At 38.7% G+C, this 23329-nt stretch overlaps 1 protein-coding gene across 1 annotated transcript in view; it reads left to right on the top strand.

Moving 5' to 3' along the window:
• The window catches only part of SVEP1 (sushi, von Willebrand factor type A, EGF and pentraxin domain containing 1), a 214494-nt gene that overhangs the window by 177078 nt on the left and 14087 nt on the right, over positions 1-23329 (top strand). Inside the window, exons 40-44 of the mRNA NM_153366.4 lie at positions 1655-1810; positions 13077-13140; positions 15206-15379; positions 16590-16766; positions 23147-23317. Coding sequence (NP_699197.3) covers positions 1655-1810; positions 13077-13140; positions 15206-15379; positions 16590-16766; positions 23147-23317 — 742 coding nt within the window. The remainder of the gene's footprint in view (positions 1-1654; positions 1811-13076; positions 13141-15205; positions 15380-16589; positions 16767-23146; positions 23318-23329) is intronic.

Below are 23329 nucleotides of genomic sequence, written 5' to 3'. Positions count from 1 at the left end.
AACTGGGTCCCCTTGTAAGCCCTGGAGAACTCTGTGATACTGGCTAAAAAAGATACTAAGCTCTTTTTTTTTTAAGTCAATAATTTATTTTTCACAACCTTCATTAGTTTCTTCACACATAGTATGACCCCCCTTTTTTGCTCAACTGGGTTTTGGTTTAAATTTTTGGTCTGAAAAGTAGAATAGACCCTTTTTAAGGTGTAAACTGTGTAAAACTATGTTCAGCACCTAGGAGTATTGTGTAATGTGACAAAATGATTCTGTAGTTCATAAAATAAATACATGGATAAGGAGATCAATACAAATTTTGAAAAATGAATACTGAAAGAGGACCAGTCTCTCCAGAAACTAAAACATATCACAGAGTTACAAAACTCTTAGTGTAGTATTCATGTAAAATTACATAGGAGTAAAAATAAATGGAACAGAAGTAATGAGTCAGAAGCTGATTCTGATAAAGGAGTCATCACAAGTCTCTGGAGAAAATAAATCATTAATAAATGATTAAAATAAAAATAACCAAAATAAATTTCACATATAGCAAAAGAAAACAATAATATGTAGCTTTTAACAGTTACTGGTGTTATAATACCCAGAAAGATTTCTGCAAAATAAAAAATTATTAAGGCATTACTTACAATATTGAAAAATTAAATGCAATGTATATACTAGGAAAATGGTTAATCATGATGCAGTCATATATACAAAATTACTTTTGGTTCATATGTAGAATGAGGGTTTAGCCGCAAATCCTGTTTAACACTGTTATCCAATTCATATATATTTCCACAAAGAAAACAGAAAAATATTAGCAATAGAATAACAATCTTCAAGAGATATATCTGTGTGTGCCTCACCTTACCCAACAGATTAACCATTTTCCTAGTATATTTGTTGCATTTAATTTTTCAATAGTGTAGGTAGTGCCTTAATAATTTTTTTTTGCAGAAATCTTTCTGGGTAATGAAAACACTAATAACTGTTAAAAGCTACATATTATTGTTTTCTTTTGCTATATCTGGAATTTATTTTGGTTATTTTTATTTTAATCATTTATTGAGGATTTCTTTATAAAATTTATTTTAATCATTATTGATTTCTTTATAGATACAAAATTATATATATATATATAAATTTTTTTCTACATGACCCCTTCAAAAATATGTGATAAAATGTTTTTAGGTGTTCTCGTTGGAATGGAGAAAAGGAAGCTGATTTTCTTAAACTTTGAGTAGTATGCCTAAAATTTACTGTTTCTCATAAACTTTATTATAAAATATAGAATCTTGAAATTTAAGAGTGCATTAGTGTAAGTTATAGAATATTTGTATTAACCTCCAGTTCTCGTGCATTATAATGAAAATATATTTCTTGTTGCTCGTGATTTTTGAATAGATTCTATTAGGAAGAAAATGCCTGTTTTATGGGCTTAAGAAATGTCTAAAATTGTCTGTGGGTGACTATTAAGACCATCTAATAATTAAAGTGTGTTTTTTAAGCCCACATATAATAAGTAGCAAAAGTAGGACCAAACCCTGGGTGCTTTTGACTATCATTTTGGAGATTATTCTGCAAATAACCAATATTTGCAAATTTCTTCATTCATATGTATTAACTTCTAAACATAACTTACATTTTGTTATTTGTCACTTAGCTTGATGGAACCTGGGAGCCACCATTCTCCGATGAATCTTGCAGTCCAGTTTCTTGTGGGAAACCTGAAAGTCCAGAACATGGATTTGTGGTTGGCAGTAAATACACCTTTGAAAGCACAATTATTTATCAGTGTGAGCCTGGCTATGAACTAGAGGTAAGCGAACAAATTGTTTAACTAGAAATAATTTGTTTTTCCAATATACTTGGGGATACTTTCAGTATTAGCACAAATTTGTTTTACTGACTTTGGTCTCAAAAGATTCTATTATACTTTGTTCCCTTATACTCTAACATTTTCCAAGAAATATTTAAGGCAACTTAGAGTTTTAAAAAGTAAAATAAACTGGGTGCGGTGGCTCATGCCTGTAATCCGAGCACTTTGGGAGGCCGAGGTGGGCAGATCACTTGAGGTCAGAAGTTCAAGACCAGTCTGGCCAACATGGTGAAACCCCGTCTCTACTAAAAATACAAAAATTAGCTGTTCATGGTGGCAGGCACCTGTAATTCCAGCTACTTGGGAGACTGAGGCAGGAGAATCGCTTGAACCCGTGAGGCATAGGTTTCAGTGAGCTGAAATCATGCCACTGCACTCCAGCCTGGGAGGCAAGAGTGAGACCATCTCAAAGAAAAAAAAAAAGCAAAATAAGTCTCAAATAAAAAACATGAAAGCCATGATAAGGAAGGAAAAAAGTAAGTTCGCAAACCACAAGACAGATGCTGTGACTTCAACTGACCATTTAAACTGTGTTTCGGCTTGCTGGTAATCATATTCTGCAACAGGGAAGTCCACCGGTCACCATGGAGAGGTAACCACAAGGATTTAGGTATGCAAAGCCAGGATTTCCTCAAACAATGGGCTCATATACCTTGGCATTGAGATGCCAAGTTCCCATAAGCAAATCTGGCTTGAAAACACCACAGAACAGTTTTAACTAATACCAACTTCATTCCTGAGACAGCTGTTGCTTTGTAATATTAAAATCCCTTCCGCAGCACCTAGGTCTCTGTTTACTTTAGTGGGAGAGCTAGATCAATCAGTTTTGCTGAAAGCATTACCGTATCACTAAATTTGAAATTTAAGAGGCCTATTTTACATTACACCATGTTGTCATTTAGTTATTCAGGAAACTCTTTTTTATTTTTATTGTTACAATGGTATTTAAAGGTAGGTTTTGGCTGGGTGTCGTGACTCACACCTGTAATCCCAGCACTTTGGAAAGCCAAGGAGGGTGGATCACTTGAGCTCAGGAGTTCAAGACCAGGCTGGGCAACATAGTAAGACCCAGTCTCCACAAAAAATACAGAAAATGGCCAGGCGTGATGGAATGTGCCTGTAGTCCCAGCGACTCAGGAGGCTGAGGGAGGAGGATCACTTAAGCCCAGGAGGCAGAGGTTGCAGTGAGCCAAGATCGCACCATTGCACTCCAGCCTGGGTGACAGGAGTGAAACCCTGTCTCAAAAACAAAAACAAAAAAAGTATTCATCACCAGTTTTCTTTTTTCTTTTTAATTTTATTATTATTATACTTTAAGTTTTAGGGTACATGTGCACAATGTGCAGGTTTGTTACATATGTATACATGTGCCATGTTGGTGTGGTGCACCCATTAATTCGTCATTTAGCATTAGGTATATCTCCTAATGCTATCCCTCCCCCGACCCCACAACAGGACCCAGTGTGTGATGTTCCCCTTCCTGTGTCCATGTGTTCTCATTGTTCAATTCTCACCTATGAGTGAGAACATGCAGTGTTTGGTTTTTTATCCTTGGGATAGTTTGCTGAGAATAATGGTTTCTAGTTTCATCCATGTCCCTACAAGGGACATGAACTCATCATTTTTCATGGCTGCATAGTATTCCATGGTGTATATATGCCACATTTTCTTAATCCAGTCTATCATTGTTGGACATTTGGGTTGGTTCCAAGTTTTTGCTATTGTGAATAGTGCCGCAATAAACATACATGTGCATGTGTCTTTATAGCAGCATGATTTATAATCCTTTGGGTATATACCCAGTAATGGGATGGCTGGGTCAAGTGGTATTTCTAGTTCTAGATCCCTGAAGAATCGCCACACTGACTTCCACAGTGGTTGAACTAGTTTACAGTCTCACCAACAGTGTAAAAGTGTTCCTATTTCTCCACATCCTCTCTAGCACCTGTTGTTTCCTGACTTTTTAATGATTGCCATTCTAACTGGTGTGAGATGGCATCTCATTGTGGTTTTGATTTGCATTTCTCTGATGGCCAGTGATGATGAGCATTTTTTCATGAGTGTTTTTTGGCTGCATAAACGTCTTCTTTTGAGAACTGTCTGTTCATATCCTTCTCCCACTTTTTGATGGGGTTGTTTGTTTTTTTCTTATAAATTTGTTTGTGTTCATTGTAGATTCTGGGTATTAGCCCTTTGTCAGATGAGTAGGCTGGAAAAATTTTCTCCCATTCTGTAGGTTGCCTGTTCACTCTAATGATAGTTTCTTTTGCTGTGCAGAAGCTCTTTAGTTTAATTAGATCCCATTTGTCAATTTTGGCTTTTGTTGCCATTGCTTTTGGTGTTTTAGCATGAAGTCCTTGCCCATGCCTATGTCCTGAATGGTATTGCCTAAGTTTTCTTCTAGGGATTTTATGGTTTTAGGTCTAACATTTAAGTCTTTAATCCATCTTGAATTAATTTTTTGTGTAAGGTGTAAGGAAGGGATCCAGTTTCAGCTTTCTACATATGGCTAGCCAGTTTTCCCAACACCACTTATTAAATAGGGAATCCTTTCCCCATTTCTTGTTTTTGTCAGGTTTGTCAAAGATCAGATAGTTGTAGATATGCAGCATAATTTCTGAGGGCTCTGTTCTGTTCCATTGGTCTATATCTCTGTTTTGGTATCAGTACCATGCTGTTTTGGTTACTGTAGCCTTGTAGTATGGTTTGAAGTCAGGTAGCGTGATGCCTCCAGCTTTGTTCTTTTGGCTTAGGATTGACTTGGTGACGCAGCTCTTTTTTGGTTCCATATGAACTTTAAAGTAGTTTTTTCCAATTCTGTGAAGAAAGTCATTGGTTGCTCGATGGGGATGGCATTGAATCTATAAATTACCTTGGGCAGCATGGCCATTTTCATGATATTGATTCTTCCTACCCATGAGCATGGAATGTTCTTCCATTTCTTTGTATCCTCTTTTATTTCATTGAGCAGTGGTTTGTAGTTCTCCTTGAAGAGGCCCTTCACATCCCTTGTAAGTTGGATTCCTAGGTATTTTATTCCCTTTGAAGCAATTGTGAATGGGAGTTCACTCATGATTTGGCTCTCTGTTTCTCTTATTGGTGTATAAGAATGCTTGTGATTTTTGCACATTGATTTTGTATCCTGAGACTTTGCTGAAGTTGCTTATCCACTTAAGGAGATTTTGGGCTGAGACAATGGGGTTTTCTAGGTATACAATCATGTCATCTGCAAACAGGGACAATTTGACTTCCTCTTTTCCTAATTGAATATCCTTTATTTCCTTCTCCTGCCTGATTGCCCTGGCCAGAACTTCCAACACTATGTTGAATAGGAGTGGTGAGAGAGGGCATCCCTGTCTTATGCCAGTTTTCAAGGGGAATGCTTCCAGTTTTTGCCCATTCAGTATGATATTGGCTGTGGGTTTGTCATAGATAGCTCTTATTATTTTGAGATACGTCCCATCAATACCTAATTTATTCAGAGTTTTTAGCATGAAGTGTTGTTGAATTTTGTCAAAGGCCTTTTCTGCATCTATTGAGATAATCATGTGGTTTTTGTCTTTGGTTCTGTTTATATGCTGGATTACATTTATTGATTTGTGTATGTTGAACCAGCCTTGCATCCCAGGGATGAAGCCCACTTGATCATGGTGGATAAGCTTTTTGATGTGCTTCTGGATTCGGTTTGCCAGTATTTTACTGAGGATTTTTGCATCAATGTTCATCAAGGATATTCATCTAAAATTCTCTTTTTTGGTTGTGTCTCTGCCAGGCTTTGGTATCAGGATGATGCTGGCCTCATAAAATGAGTTAGGGAGGATTCCCTCTTTTTCTGTTGATTGGAATAGTTTCAGAAGGAATGGTACCAGCTCCTCCTTGTACCTCTGGTAGAATTTGGCTGTGAATCCATCTGGTCCTGGACTTTTCTTGGTTGGTAAGCTATTGATTATTGCCTCAATTTCAGAGCCTGTTATTGGTCTATTCAGAGATTCAACTACTTCCTGGTTTAGTCTTGGGAGGATGTATGTGTCGAGGAATTTATCCATTTCTTCTAGATTTTCTAGTTTATTTGCCTAGAGGTGTTTATAGTATTCTGATGGTAGTTTGTATTTCTGTGGGATCAGTGGTGATATCCCCTCTATCATTTTTTATTGTGTCTATTTGATTCTTCTCTCTTTTCTTATTAGTCTTGCTAGCGGTCTATCAATTTTGTTGATCTTTTCAAAAAGCCAGCTCCTGGATTCATTAATTTTTTGAAGAGTTTTTTGTGTCTCTATTTCCTTCAGTTCTGCTCTGATCTTAGTTATTTCTTGCCTTCTGCTAGCTTTTGAATGTGTTTGCTCTTGCTTCTCTAGTTCTTTTAGTTGTGATGTTAGGGTGTCAATTTTAGATCTTTCCTACTTTCTCTTGTGGGCATTTAGTGCTATAAATTTCCCTCTACACACTGCTTTGAATGTGTCCCAGAGATTCTGGTATGTTGTGTCTTTGTTCTCATTGGTTTCAAAGAACATCTTTATTTCTGCCTTCATTTCGTTATGTACCCAGTAGTCATTCAGGAGCAGGTTGTTCAGTTTCCATGTAGTTGAGCGGTTTTGAGTGAGTTTCTTAATACTGAGTTCTAGTTTGATTGCACTGTGGTCTGAGAGACAGTTTGTTATAATTTCTGTTCTTTTACATTTGCTGAGGAGTGCTTTATTTCCAACTGTGTCGTCAGTTTTGGAATAGGTGTGGTGCTGAAAAGAATGTATATTCTGTTGATTTGGGGTGGACAGTTCTGTAGATGTCTATTAGGTCTGCTTGGTGCAGAGCTGAGTTCAATTCCTGGGTATCCTTGTTAACTTTCTGTCTCGTTGATCTGTCTAATGTTGACAGTGGGGTGTTAAAGTCTCCCATTATTATTGTGTGGGAGTCTAAGTCTCTTTGTAGGTCACTAAGGACTTGCTTCATGAATCTGGGTGCTCCTGTATTGGGTGCATATATATTTAGGATAGTTAGCTCTTCTTGTTGAATTGATCCCTTTACCATTATGTAATGGCCTTCTTTGTCTCTTTTGATCTTTGTTGGTTTAAAGTCTGTTTTATCAGAGACTAGGATTGCAACCCCTGCCTTTTTTTGTTTTCCATTTGCTTGGTAGATCTTCCTCCATCCTTTTATTTTGAGCCTATGTGTGTCTCTGCACGTGAGATGGGTTTCCTGAATATAGCACACTGATGGGTCTTGACTCTTTATCCATTTTGCCAGTCTGTGTCTTTTAATTGGAGCATTTAGCCCATTTACATTTAAGGTTAATATTGTTATGTGTGAATTTGATCCTGTCATTATGATGTCAGCTGGCTATTTTGCTTGTTAGTTGATGCAGTTTCTTCCTAGCCTTGATGGTCTTTACAATTTGGCATGTTTTTGCAGTGGGTGGTACTGGTTGTTCCTTTCCATGTTTAGTGCTTCCTTCAGGAGCTCTTTTAGGGCAGGCCTGGTGGTGACAAAATCTCTCAGCATTTGCTTGTCTGTAAAGGATTTTATTTCTCCTTCACTTATGAAGCATAGTTTGGCTGGATATGAAATTCTGGGTTGAAAATTCTTTTCTTTAAGAATGTTGAATATTGGCCCCCACTCTCTTCTGGCTTGTAGAGTTTCTGCTGAGAGATCAGCTGTTAGTCTGCTGGGCTTCCCTTTGTGGGTAACCTGACCTTTCTCTCTGGCTGCTCTTAACAGTTTTTCCTTCATTTCAACTTTGGTGAATCTGACAATTATGTGTCTTGGAGTTGCTCTTCTCAAGGAGTATCTTTGTGGTGGTCTCTGTATTTCTTGAATTTGAATGCTGGCCTGCCTTGCTAGATTGGGGAAGTTCTCCGGGATAATATCCTGCAGAGTGTTTTCCAACTTGGTTCCATTCTCCCCATCACTTTCAGGTACACCAATCAGACGTAGATTTGGTCTTTTCACATAGTCCCATATTTCTTGGAGGCTTTGTTCATTTCTTTTTATTCTTTTTTCTCTAAACTTCTCTTCTTGCTTCATTTCATTCATTTGATCTTCCATCACTGATACCCTTTCTTCCAGTTGATTGCATCAGCTATTGAGGCTTCTGCACTGGTCACGTAGTTCTCGTGCCTTGGTTTTCAGCTCCATCAGGTCCTTTAAGGACTTCTCTGCATTGGTTATTCTAGTTATCCATTCGTCTAATTTTTTTTCAAAGTTGTTAACTTCTTTGCCATTCGTTTGAACTTCCTCCTGTAGCTGAGAGTAGTTTGATCATCTGAAGCCTTCTTCTCTCAACTCGTCAAAGTCATTCTCTGTCCAGCTTTGTTCTGTTGCTGGTGAGGAGCTGCGTTCCTTTGGAGGAGGAGAGGCGCTCTGATTTTTAGAGTTTCCAGTTATTCTGCTCTGTTTTTTTCCCATCTTTGTGGTTATATCTACCTTTGGTCTTTGATGATGGTGACGTACAGATGGGTTTTTGGTGTGGATGTCCTTTCTGTTTGTTAGTTTTCCTTCAACAGACAGGACCCTCAGCTGCAGGTCGGAGTTGGCTAGAGGTCCAATCCAGACCCTGTTTGCCTGGGTATCAGCAGCAGAGGGTGCAGAACAGCGGATATTGGTGAACCGCAAATGCTGCTGCCTGATCATTCCTCTGGAAGTTTTGTCTCAGAGGAATACCCGGCCATGTGAGGTGTCAGTCCGCCCCTACTGGGGGGTGCCTCCCAGTTAGGCTACTCGGGGGTCAGGGACCCACTTGAGGAGGCAGTCTGCCTGTTGTCAGATCTCAAGCTGCGTGCTGGGAGAACCATTATTCTCTTCAAAGCTGTCAGACAGGGACATTTAAGTCTTCAGAGTTACTGCCGTCTTTTTGTTTGTCTGTGCCCTGCCCCCAGAGGTGGAGCCTACAGAGGCAGGCATGCCTCCTTGAGCTGTGGTGGGCTCCACCCAGTTCAAGCTTCCTGGCTGCTTTGTTTACCTAATCAAGTCTCGGCAATGGTGGGCACCCCTCCCCCAGCCTCGCTGCTGCCTTGCAGTTTGATGTCAGACTGCTGTTCTAGCAATGAGTGAGACTCTGTGGGCATAGGACCCTCTGAGCCAGGTGCGGGATATAATCTCCTGGTTTGCTGTTTTTTAAGCCTGTTGGAAAAACACAGTATTAGAGTGGGAGTGACCCGATTTTCCAGGTGCCATCTGTCACCCCTTTCTTTGACTAGGAAAGGGAATTCCCTGACCCCTTGTGCTTCCCGGGTGAGGCGATGCCTCATTCTGCTTTGGCTTGTGCACAGTGCACTGCACCCACTGTCTGGCACTCCCCAGTGAGATGAACCCGGTACCTCAGTTGGAAATGCAGAAATCACCCGTCTTCTGCGTCGCTCACGCTGGGAGCTGTAGACTGGAGCTGTTCCTATTTGGCCATCTCATCGCCACTTTTCTGTTAAATGTTTTGCATGTCTCATTATTTTCTGACCATGCAGTACAAGAATTATCATATGATAGGTATATGCAGTCTGGGACCAGGCTTATATATATCTTCTTTCCTCAAAAAAGATGATAATATAATGGTGATTACATTCGGAGTGTTTTCCTGTTTTTGAAACCTCGTTCTTCATGCAAGAATATTAATCTTGCAATTTATTAAGAAGAAAAGTAATATAAAATTATGAACAAATGTAGAGCAAACTGTCATTAAATTTGAAGCAGATAATTTAAAAATTTGTGGAAATATATGTTAACTGAAAAATTGAGAAAGGTGCAATAGTGATTGCTCTCACTCCAAGCTATTATACATGTTAGAATCACTTGAGAAAGTTTTTAAAATATTGATGTTCAGTTACTTGGAGAAATTACCAACTCCAGGTCTCGGACAAGAAATGTAAAATATTGCCTGGAAACTTGTCACACAAAATAGCAGGGAACCTAACAAAGACTACACATCGAAAGTATTCAGAAGCCACTGGACAAGGCTCCCACAGGTCAAGATGAGACCATTTTAGCATTAACAAGGGTAATAACTTCAATGGACTGAAACACATCAAATAGGTCATAAATGACACTAGGCTTATAATGATACTTTTAAAAAAATTAGAATCTCTTAAAGGATGCTTATGAACAAACTCATTATTTTAAAAACAGACAACTCAAGAGGAAGAATTGTCTTTCCAGTGCTACCTGTTTGACTAGATAACCAAACAGTAGATGAGGGGAAGTTACAGTTAATAGTGATAAAATAGAATTTAAATAGCAGAATTCACAACTCCTAAGAATTAATGGATTTAAGTTATGATCATCCATGGCTGCTGAAGTCACAAAAAATGGAGACAACCAGACATTATGTGTCTCTGGATGGGTGAACAACCCCATCTATGAAAACATTTTGTGCTCTCCCACCTCCACCACACACACACAAAATGAATACGGAAATTATCAAGCCTCTAAATCCAACAAACAGTGTCAGAGACACCACAGTGAAGCAAGTGGCAAAATTCTATCTGTGGGAACAGATACAGGACCAATGACCCAGTTTTTCAGTGTCCAAGACAAATAAATTGACAGGGCAGAGGGGAGTAAATAGAGAAGGAACCTAAGTTTAGAGAGATATAAGAGACATTGCATTAGTCATGAGTCTCCAAAGAAAGAGAACCAATAGGAGAGAGAGAGAAGAGATATATATATATATATATATAATGAGGAATTGGGTCACAAGTTAATGGAGGCTAAATCCCAGGATCTTCTCTCTGCAAACTGGAGACCCTGAGAAGCTGGTGGTGTAATTCAGTCCAAGTCCAAAGGTCTGAGAACTAGGTGAGCTGATGATGTAAAACCCTGTCTGAAGATAGAGGAGGAGATGAGTCCCAACTCAAGTGGTGAGGAAGAAAAAGAGGGCCATTTCCTCCTTCCATGTTTTGTTCTATTTGGTCCCTCAGTGTTTTGGAAGATGCCCCCCACCCTCCACATTGGCGAGGGCAATCTACTTTACATGATCTACTAATTTAAATGCTAATCTCATCCAGAAACATCCTCACAGACACATCCAGAAGCAGTGTTTAAGCTGGGCACCTCATGGCCCACTCAAGTTGCTGCACATCAGTATTTGTAAAGAGTTTCTTAGGTGATTCTAACATGGAGCTCAGAGTGAGAGCAATCACTATTATCGCTCTCTCAATTTTGTAGTTAATACCAGGATGTTTCCAAAAGTTTAAAGGTTAATTATCTATTAATACTTCTTCAAATGTAATGACACATCAAGGCCGGGCATGGTGGCTCACGCCTATAACCTCAGCACTTTGGGAGGCTGAGGCGGGTAGGTCACCTGAGGTCAGGAGTTTGAGACCAGCCTGTCCAACATGGTGAAACTCCATCTCTACTAAAAAATACAAAAATTAGCGGGGTGTGGTGGCAGGCACCTGTAGTCTCAGCTACTTGGGGAGCTGAGGCAGGAGAATCACTTCAACACAGGAGGTGGAGGTTGCAGAGAGCCGAGATTGCACCACTGCATTCCAGCCTGGGCAACAGAGCAAAACTCTGTCTCAAAAAAAAAAAAAAAAAGACAAAAAGTAATGACCCATCAGGTTGCTGTACATTTGTTCATAAAATGAATCATCACAGAAACATAAACTAGTCTCAGTGTATGGATCTTATTTGGTACTGATTCAACAGAATTATTTAAAGAATAAATTATGAAATTTATGCAACAATTGGAAATTTGAAAACGACATTTTATTAATATTAAGGAATTGTTACTTTTTAAGTTGTGATAATGTTATGGTTATAATTTTTAAGAGCTCTTATCTTTTAGAGATTCATACTGAAATAATTATTGTTAAATGATTTGAAGTCTAGAATTTGCTTCAAAATAATAGGAGTTCATGGAAGGGGTGGGGCTTACATGAAACAAGGTTGGCCCTGAGTTAATTGGGTAAACTGGGTGATGTCTACACAGAAGTTTCTTATACTGTTCTTTCTACTGTTGGTATTTCTCATATGTTTGAATTTTTCCATCAGACAGGATTTTTTTTTAATGCAAATACCTGTTCTCACATCAGACTAATTAATTCAATATTTCTGTGGGTTGAGTCTGGGGCAGCAGTACCCTTTTCAGAGTTCCCTTGGTGATTCGTGTGTGCAGCCAGGACTGAGAATCACTGACAAATTGCTGCTCTTATAATCAGTGGAGTTCACTACCATCTGCTTGAGAATCACCTGAGAAGTTGTAAAAAGAAAAGAGTATATATTGCTAGACCAAGATCATGTGAACCAAATAGTTTCTGGGGGTTTGCATTTTTAGATTGTATGCTTAATATTATTTCTGATTGTCAAATCATAATTGTATACATTTTGGGATACACAATTACCAAGATATATATGGAGTCAACCTAAGTGTTGGGTGTCATCGATGGATGAATGGATAAAGAAAATGTGAGATATAAGTATATATATATATAAGTAGATATAAGTATATATATATAAGTGTATATAAGTATGTGTATATATAAGTATATATACACATACTTATATAAGTATATATAAGTATGTATATATATAAGTATATATATACATACTTATATAAGTATATATACACATACTTATATAAGTATATATACAAGTATATACATACATACTTATATAAGTGTATATATACATACATACTTATATAAGTATGTATGTATATACTTGTATATATACTTATATAAGTATGTATGTATATATACTTATATAAGTATGTATGTGTATATATACACGTATATATATATACTTATATATATACGTGTATATATACTTATATATATATACACACACACACACACTTATGTGTATACATCACATGTGTTTTTATGGCCAAATAGTACTCTATTGTGTATGTGTGTGTATATACATATATTATGATACACTATGATTCATATATTTCTAAGAATACTACTATTTGACTACTTCTAATGCATTCTTTGTCAGTCTTAGCTACAGATTATAATTAGTTGCCGTTTAAAATAAAAGGTGAAGCAAAGTCTGTACCTTAATTATACCGGTCTGCCAGAGTGTGAATTTTGAAGCAATTTGATAAATAAATACAGTTTAAGGAGTAGATTTAGACTTTCAAAAATGTTTTTAACATGTTTATTTAGCATTCCAGTGCTGAGCGATTCAAGGCCATAGCTAAGATTACTTTGCATTTCCTTATTATCTTTCTATTGTAGAGTTATGATCTTGATGACCTTTCTCCATTGTTTCACAGGGGAACAGGGAACGTGTCTGCCAGGAGAACAGACAGTGGAGTGGAGGGGTGGCAATATGCAAAGGTGAGTTGAATGACACTTAGCAGCCCCCAAAATGACACTGAGGACACAAAATAACAGTGTGGCTACATTTTCTTTATAGGTTAGTTTTGTAATTAAAATGTAAGCCAACTCCATAAGCCATATGAGAACCTTTTAATGGGCTTTTTCTCAAGGGCAGTAAACCAATAAAAGGGTCAAAAACTGTAGTAGGGATTAACAATTAACTGCAATAGGACACAAGATTACTGACTCTGGAATGGCAAACAGTTTGTTTAAAAACTAGTTAATTATTGAGTTTATTAGCATTTTGGGGGGGTTTTCTCAAATAATTATAAATTAGAAGGCTAAGAGCTGTTGTTTTTTGGTGACAGTACTAGCCAATACTTTTAACGTGCTGTTGGTCCATCTGTCAAATCAATTAATATTAATATTTTGCATGGAATTTAACTCATTTTATGAGAACAACCAAGTTTATTTGGCAAAATGTGGGTTAATGCACATAACTTTATCCCCAGTATTCCCTTCTCTGCCAAAGGACAATGTATGTATGTATTTATGTATTTTTATTTTTATTTTTAAATAGAGTCTCACTCTGTCACCCAGGGTGGAGTGCAGTAGTGCAACCTCAGCTCACTGCAACCTCCACTTCCCGGGCTCAAGGGACTCTCATGCCTCAGCCTCCCGAGTAGCTGGGGCTACAGGCATGCTCCACCATGCCCGGGTAATTTTTTGTATTTCAGTAGAGACGGGGTTTCACCATGTTGGCCTGGCTGGTCTCGAACTCCCGGCTTCAAGCAATCCATGCTCCTCAGCCTCCCAAAGTGCTGGGATTATAGGCATGAGCCACCATGCCCGGCACAGCATCAATAGCATTTTAAAGCTCCCTATGTGGTTTCAAAGTGCAGCCAAGGTTAAGATCTGTGATCTCAGCATACTCAACTTTGGGCTGAAAGAAGTCCATTAGCATCTGGTCCAGGGACTCAACTCTGAGTTCACATTTGAATTGTTTGGGGAATTTTTAATATAATACTGAAAAGTAGCCCTCAGTATAAAGATTTGGACTCATTTGGTCTGTGATAGGCCATAAATGCTTCCCAGGTTCTCTAAGGTACGGCCAAACTTGAGAAGCACTAGTCTAGAACCACCTTCTCTGCCTTCACAAAAATTATAAAATTAAGACTCAAGCCCATTTTTTGAGATTCTTGAAAGGGTGATCCTATTTTCCTCATAGCATCCCTGTTAATAACATTTCTCACAATAATGCAAAATCATTCTTTATAACTTTACTATAATACTCACCAGTTTATGAAGTCAGCATATTCCTCAAAAGCCATATAAAATGTCATTTATTCTATTCCCCACAAGCTCTTGGGTCCCTGTTCTTTATACTTTCTTATTGTCTTTTACCTTCTGATAATTTTATATTTTATCTCTTCTTACAAGCAGTATGACCTTGACCAAATTATTTAACTTCTCTAAGCCTCACTTTTTGCCAACTGTTACATGAGATAATCTCAGAGTTGCTATAAGTAAGGTTGCCAGATTTAGAAGAAACAAAAATACAGGACATGCAGTTATATTTAAATTTCAGATGAAAAATAATTTAAATGTAAACTTATAAATATGCAATATCGGAGACACGCTTATACTAAAAATGTATTTGTTATTTATCTGATACTGAAATTTAACAGGGCATCCTCTATTTTATTTGGGCTTACAACTTAAGTGTTGTAAGAAATAAATTTAGTATTGTTTGAAAAGTTCTTGGCCATTGTTAGCAACTTACAATGAGATTGTTTTATTTTACCCACCTGCTCATCCATACTCCCTGTCCCCAGCATTATTAATAATACATAAAGACAGCTGGAGTCAATAAGACTAACTCCCAATCTTTAATTGCATGCATGTATTAATCCAATACTTAGGTATGCTATATTTTTCTCCTTCAATGAATATCACTGTGCTTCACACATGAGTAGGCCATAATATTTTATATATTCCATGAAATATCTTTGGCAATCATAGGAAAAGAAGGAAAGAGGAATTGGGGAAGCAATTAATATGAGGCTTTTATTCTTGTTTTTAGAGACCAGGTGTGAAACTCCACTTGAATTTCTCAATGGGAAAGCTGACATTGAAAACAGGACGACTGGACCCAACGTGGTATATTCCTGCAACAGAGGCTACAGTCTTGAAGGGCCATCTGAGGCACACTGCACAGAAAATGGAACCTGGAGCCACCCAGTCCCTCTCTGCAAACGTGTGTGTTGCCTTTAGGAGAAATTTTAATCAGATTCAGTTTCACGATTAGCTTCCCGCATATCCAAAACATAGAGGAAGCTCCACTCATAAGGGATATGGGCCCAGAGAAAGCAATTAATGCCTATCCAAGCTGAATTCTCTGGGATATTTTAAAAATATGTTTGTGTTATCTAAGTCCTGTCTGAGAATCAGCTTTTGTCAGATTCCATGAGTGATTACTAAGAGAAAATGCAACTTAATGAAAAAATTTTGACATACATGTATCATGAATTCTACTGGGGATAGGAAAGAAATGAAAGATGTATCATGAATTCTACTGGGGATAGGGAAAGAAATGAAAGAAAATACATTTAATATGTGATGTTAATATAATGAAGTATATATAAATATGATAAATTAAGATAATGAGTTATAGCCATTCGAATGAAAACAATATTCACAAGCAACGTAGAAGTTGAGACTGCTCTTGTTAACTGTTTCAAGTATCATCATAATGTAGTAACAGCGGAAGTGTACCTCACTCAAATACTTTTATGCCCATTTAAAAATCTGAAATTGCTTGAAATATGTGTTGACATGTGTGTCACACACTTGCGCTAAGCACGCATAATGCCATCATCATTTCCTGTGTTTCCCTCGGGCCTATAACAATGAATCCATCTTTATCAATAAAACATGCAAACTCCACTAGTTCTAATATCCTGCCCATAGCAGTATGAGTCTAAAGTCACATTCAGCTCACATAGAAATGTCTGATGGTTTCCTGGTTCCATCCTCCTGAAGGATGTTCAATAAAAGAAAGTAAGGTGACAATGAGAAGCATTTGATATTCTTCAAATAAGGGAATATTTGATATACCCCTTGATTTCTAGTATGCCTTTTGTTTTCACAATGCTGATCAAAAACTCAGTCTAAAATAATGTTGTGGCCCATAATTTCAGGCATAAATTGTCATCTTCAACTTTTAGGACCTTGCATTAGTGGTTGAATAACTTCATGTTTTCTGATCTTATCTGGCTTTATCTTTACACATAATTTCATGAGGATGCAAAACAAGTCTGTGTCTAATGTTTGGAGTTCCATATTTTTAAACCTTATATGATCATTATTGAGAACCCATCTCTTATAGGACTACTACTCCACCTTCAAAGAAATACATTAGGAAAAGAGGGGAAATATCAGTAAGCATTTTCTTTTCTTTTTGACAGCAAATCCATGCCCTGTTCCTTTTGTGATTCCCGAGAATGCTCTGCTGTCTGAAAAGGAGTTTTATGTTGATCAGAATGTGTCCATCAAATGTAGGGAAGGTTTTCTGCTGCAGGGCCACGGCATCATTACCTGCAACCCCGACGAGACGTGGACACAGACAAGCGCCAAATGTGAAAGTAAGTCAGCAGGCGGAAGCCAGTTCATGCCGCTAGTGCGAAATGTTTTCCCATCCCTGTGAGGTTGTTTTCAATCAAGTCACTTAGTTGTAGATACTTAGATCTCTGTGCTATCACAGTTATCATCTTCCTCATTAATGTTTGTAAATTTCTTTTAATCTTTGAATTTCAAACATTTTAAAAAAAGCTTTCCAGAACTAAACTAAAACCCACCTGAACAGATTTTCAAAATGTGCTCCTCTAAGAATGAGCAAGGTATTAAATTCAAAATACAAATTTTTCTCCACACTGTCAGAGTCCCCAAACTATCCTTTAACAGACTATGAATGTTTTGCAACAGAAAAATTATTCCACAGTGGTTCTCAAACTTGAGCCTGCATCAGAACCACCTAGAGAACCTGTTAAAACACATTTCTAGATGTTGCTGATGAGGATGCTGCTGGCCCAGAAAAAACAATCTGAGAACCACTAGCAAGCACTACGTTGCTAGCACCAGCACTATAGGTTAGCGCTTTGTTACTCCATTTATGCAATCTGGAGGCATCTTTTTCAGCCTTGTGATAACGCAACGTTTTTTAACGCACACTTTTTAACTCCATTTAAAACATCTCACTGCCAGCTGGGTGCGGTGGCTCACACCTGTAATCCCAGCACTGTGGGAGGCTGAGGTGGGTGGATCACCTGAGGTCAGGAGTTCAAGACCAGCCCAGCCAACATGGCAAAACCCTGTCTCTACTAAAAATACAAAAATTAGCTGGGTGTGGTGGCACACACCTGTAATCCCAGCTACTCAGGCGGCTGCGGTAGGAAAATCTCTTGAACCTGGAAGGTGGAGGTTGCAATGAGCCAAGATCGCACCACTGCTGCACTCCAGCCTGGGAGACAGAGCAAGACTACATCTCAAAAACTAAATAAAAATAAAAATCCCCCTGCCAGCATCCTGCCCTCCAGGCTCATTTGTTGTCCAAGCTACTACCTCTACAGTAATCAATTAACATATTCATTGAGTCCGACCAGAGGCAAGGCACAAGGCTGCATAGTGTAAGAATGTATCATGCCTACAATGGTCTTCATCTTCAGTACACTTGCACGCCACTTAATGAGATAAGAAATATGCCTGTGAAGGTCATGGGGATTCTGGAATCAGAAAGACCTGAGTTTGAATTCTGTCCTCAAAATGTTTAACTCTAAACTTATGCTAGTGCCTTACTTCTCTGAGTCTGAGGGCTGTCATTTGTTAAGAGTCTCAATTATATCTTTCTTGTAGTTATTATAGATTTCTTATAGATTTGAAGAATAAGTGAATTGGTGCATATTAGCAATATTTCCTAATAGGAAGATATACACAACAGCCCAAGTCCCTGAATTTTCAGCTAGCAGCTTATTGCAGTATTAGAATGTTTATTTTGCGGGGAGGGGTTCAAGATGGCCAACTAGAAACAGCTGTGGCCGGAGCCTCCCACCGAGAAGAACAAAAACAGTGAGTGAATCCTGCACCGGCAACTGAGGTATCCAGGTTCTCTCATTGGGACTGACTAGGCAGTTGGCGCAATCCACAGAAAGCGAGAAAAAGCAAGGTGGTACAACGGCCCACCTGGGAGCCACATGGGGCAAGCAGAGCTCCCACCCCCAGCCAAAGGAGGTGGTGAGTGATTGTGCTACCCCACTCAGGAAACCACACTTTTTCCATGGATCTGTGCAACCTGCAGATCAGGAGATCCCCCTCATGAGCCCACGCCACCAGGGCCTTAGGTCCCAAGCACAGAGCTGTGTAGATTCTTGGCGGCCACTCAGCTGAAAACTGCCTAAGACTACTGAGTTATCGGAGGGAGGAACAGCCACTGTCACTGTGGCTGCCTGCTGCCTAAGATGACTGAGCTTCTGGGGGAAGAGGCGGCCACCATCACTGCAGCTCCAGTCTACCATTTTTTTTTCCCTGCTGGTGCCAGGGAGACTGGGCAATTTGGACAGAGGAGGAATTCCCCATAGTGCAGCACAGCAGCTGTGACAGATCGTGGCCAGACTGCCTCTTTAGGCTGGACCCTGACTCCTTCCTCCTCGCTAAGCAGGACCTCCCTGCGGGAATTTCAGCAACTCCAGCCAGGGGTTTATGAACAGACCTCTGATCTCCCTGAGATGGAGCCCCTGGGGCTCCATGTGGCCATGGTCTCCACAGATCAGCAGGCTTAGTCCTTCCCCTGCTGGCTCTGAGGAATCCAGGCAGGCTGGACTAGTGGGATTCCCCACAGCACAGTTTACCTGCTCTGCCAAGGGGCAGCTAGAGCGCTTTGTTAAGCGAGTCCCTGATCCCATGCCTCCTGATTGGGATGAGACCCCCCCACAACAGGGGTCACGGATGAGACCCCCCCACAACAGGGGTCACCAGACACCTTATACAAGGGTGTTCCTGCTAGCATCAGGTCAGTGCCCCTCTGGGACAGAGCTCCCAGAGGAAAGAGCAGGCAGCCATCTTTGCTGTTCTGCAGCGTCCGCTGGTAACACCTTCAGGTGCAGGTGCGACCCAGGCAAATAGGGTCTGGAGTGGACCCCCAGCAAACCACAGCAGCCCTACAAAAGAGGGGCCTGACTGTTAAAAGAAAAACAAAGAGAAAGCAGCAACAACAACAACAGCCATCAACAAAAAAGCCCTCACAAAAGCCTCATCTAAAGGTCAGCAACCTCAAAGATCAAAACTGGAGAACTCAGGAAGATGAGAAAAAAAATCAATGAAGAAAACACTGAAAACTCAAAAAGCCAGAGTTCCTCTTCTCATCCAAATGATTGCAACACTTCTCCAGGAAAAGCACAGAATTGGGCAGAGGCTAGGATTGATGAATTGAAAGAAGTAGGCTTCAGAAAGTGGGTAATAATGAAGTTCGCTGAGCTAAAGGAACATGTTCTAAACCAATGCAAAGACGCCAAGAACCAGGATAAAACATTACAGGATCCGTTAACCAGAATAACCAGTTTAGAAAGGAATGTAAATGACCTGATGGAGCTGAAAAACACAACACGAGAACTTCACAATGCAACAAGTATCAATAGCTGAATGGACCAAGTGGAGGAAAGAATTTTAGAGTTTGAAGACTATCTTGCTGAAATAAGGCAGACAAGATTAGAGAACAAAGAATGAAAGGAATGAACAAAACCTCTGAGAACTATGAAATTATGTAAAAAGACCGAACCTATGATTGATCGGGGTACCTGAAAGAGATGAGTATAGAACCACCTTGGAAAACATACTTCAGGATATCACCCAGGAGAACTTCCCCAACCTAGCAAAACAAGGCCAACATTCCAGTTCAGGAAATCCAGAGAACCCCAGTAAGATACTCCATGAGAAGATCAACCCCAAGACACATAATCCTCAGGTTCTCCAAGGTAAAAATGAAGGAAAAAATGTTAAGGGCAGCCAGAGAGAAAGTCCAGGTGACCTACAAAGGGAAGCCCATCAGACTAACAGCAAACTTCTCTGCAGAAGCCCTAAAAGCCAGAAGACATTGGGGGCCAATATTCAAAGAATTTCCAAGCCAGAATTTCATAGCCAGCCAAACTAAGTTTCATAAGTGAAAGAGAAATAAAATCCTTTTCAGACAAGAAAACACTGAGGGAATTCATCACCACCAGGCCTGCCTTGCAAGAGCTCCTGAAGGAAGCACTAAATATGGAGAGGAAGAATTGTTACCAGCCGCTACAAAAAACACCCTGAAGTACAAAGATCAATGACAAGATGAAGCAACTACATCAACAAGTCTGCAAAATAACCACCTAGAATCATGATGACAGGCTCAAATTCACACATAACAATGCTAACCTTAAATGTAAATGAGCTAAATGCCCCACTTAAAAGACACAAAATGCCAAGCAAATGAAAAGCAGGAAAAAAATAGGGGTTGTATTTCTAGTTTCTGACATAACAGATTTTAAACCAGCGAAGATCAAAAAAGACAAGGGCATTTCATAATGGTAAAGGGTTCAATTCAAGAAGAAGAACTAACTATCCTAAATATATAGGCACCCAGTACAGGAGCACCCAAATTCATAAATCAAGTTCTTAGAGACTTACAAAGAGTCTTTGACATTTACACAATAATAGTGGGAGACTTTAACACCTCACTGTCAATATTAGATCATCGAGACAGAAAATTAACAAGGATATTCAGGACTTGAACTCAGCTCTAGATCAAGTGGTCTTGATAGACATCTACAGAACTCTCCACCCCAAAACAACAGAATATACATTCTTCTCATTGCTACACAGTACTTACTCTAAAATTGATCACATAATTGGAACTAAAACACTCCTCAGCAAATGCAAAACAACTGAAATCATAACAAACATTCTCTCAGACCACAGCTCAATCAAAAATTAGAACTCAGGATTAAGAAACTCAAAACCACACAACTACGTGGAAATTGAACAATCTGCTCCTGAATGACTCCTTGGTACATAATTAAATAAGGAAGAAATCAGAAAGCAATGAGAACAATGAGACAATGTACCAGAATCTCTGGGACACAGTTAAAGCAGTGTTAAGAGGGAAATTTATAGCACTAAATGCCCACATCGAAAAGGTAAAAAGATCTCAGATTGACACCCTAACATCACAACTAAAAGAACTAGTGAACCAAGAGCAAACAAACCCTAAAGCTAGCAGAAGACAAGAAATAACCAAGATCAGAGCATAACTGAAGGAGATACAGACACAAAAAGCCCTTCAAAACAATCAATTAATCAAGGAGCTGTTTTTCTGAAAAAAGTAATAAAATAGACCACTAGCTAATTAAAAAAAGGGAAGAATCAAATAGACAATAAAAATGATAAAGGGAATATCACCACTGATGCCACAGAAATACAAACAACAACCATCAGAGAATACTATAAACACTTCTATGCACATAAACTAGAAAATCTAGAAGAAATGGATAAATTCCTGGACACATGCACCCTTGGATAAATTCCTAGACAGATATACCCTTCCAAGACTGAACCAGGAAAAAGCTGAATCCCTGAATAGACCAATAACTAGTTCTGAAATTGAGGCAGTAATAAATAGCCTACAACCAAAAAAAGCCAAGGACCAGACAGATTTATAGCTGAATTCTCCTAGAGGTATAAAGAGGAGCTGGTACCATTCCTTCAGAAACTATTCCAAACAATTGAAAAGGAGGGACTCCTCCCTAACTCATTTTATGAGGCTAGCATCATCCTGATACCAAAACCTGATGGAGATACAAGAAAAAGAAAACTTCAGGCCAATTTCCCCGATGAACATCAATACAAAAATCCTCAATAAAATACCGGAGAACCGAATCCAGCAGCACATCAAAAAGCTTATCCATCACAATCAAGTTGGCTTCTTCCCCTGGATGCAAGGCTGGTTTAACATATGCAAATCAATAAACATAATTCATTTATTTCCTTCTGATTTCTGTTGCATAGTAGGCATTTTGTCCACCTTAGAGGGGAAAAAATTTTAGAAAAATCATACAAATTTATTATCTCCTCTAACAAGTTTATGGTAGTATTATGACAACAAAGTGATCTTTTAGACGCCGGCTTATAAGGACTCTTCATTCAAAAGTTGAACAAACTGGATTCTGATTAGAATCCTGACACCAATCTAACCCTTGCCCACCACAGAATAATTCTAATTATCTTGAGGCTTCTTGTAAAATTCTCAAAACAATATCAGTTATAAAAATTTCTATTTAAATATACGCATATGTCCCTTTTAAAAGAGAGGATTGTCATCCAATCTATCACAGATCCCAAAAGCAGAAAGTCACTCTTTTACAGTATTGAAAAGAGGAAAACTAACATGAAACCTTGAATTTCATAAACCTCATCAAGTTGTATTCACTGAGCATCTATAGACTAGAGACAATATTCATTCACTGACTCATTTTCAAGAGCATGTTGCATGCTAGGCACTAATAAATGCTAGGCATTAATAAAATAGCCCTGATACAATATGCAGTACTACAATTAATGATCTTTACTCTGAAACAGTAGACTACAATCATCATGCTTTCTCTCCTAATTTAATAAGCATCCTGTTTTGAAAGTCTCTTGCAGCCATTTATTTGATGAGGTACAAGAGCTAATTCTTGGTGTCCTACAGACTGCTTTCCTTAGGTTTAAAACAGGCTCACCTTCAACATTTGAATCAGAAGACAAAAAACCTTTGATCTTTGTGTGTCCAATTTTTCTCAACAGCAGCAGTTAATTCTTTTAGTTCTTACTATTCTAGATAAGTAGGTGAAAATGTTTCCCTTATGTATTTTATTTTTGCTCTTTAATTCATTCTGAGAGATGAGACTGTGTTCTCAGTCTGTGTTAATAGCACAAGCTTAATTGTTGTTTTGTTATCCTGTAGAAATCTCATGTGGTCCACCAGCTCACGTAGAAAATGCAATTGCTCGAGGCGTACATTATCAATATGGAGACATGATCACCTACTCATGTTACAGTGGATACATGTTGGAGGGTTTCCTGAGGAGTGTTTGTTTAGAAAATGGAACATGGACATCACCTCCTATTTGCAGAGGTAAGGAAATAT

This window comes from Homo sapiens, chromosome 9, assembly GCF_000001405.40.
Source record: "Homo sapiens chromosome 9, GRCh38.p14 Primary Assembly".
NCBI lineage: Eukaryota > Metazoa > Chordata > Mammalia > Primates > Hominidae > Homo > Homo sapiens.
This window is presented reverse-complemented; position numbering and strand designations above follow the sequence as displayed.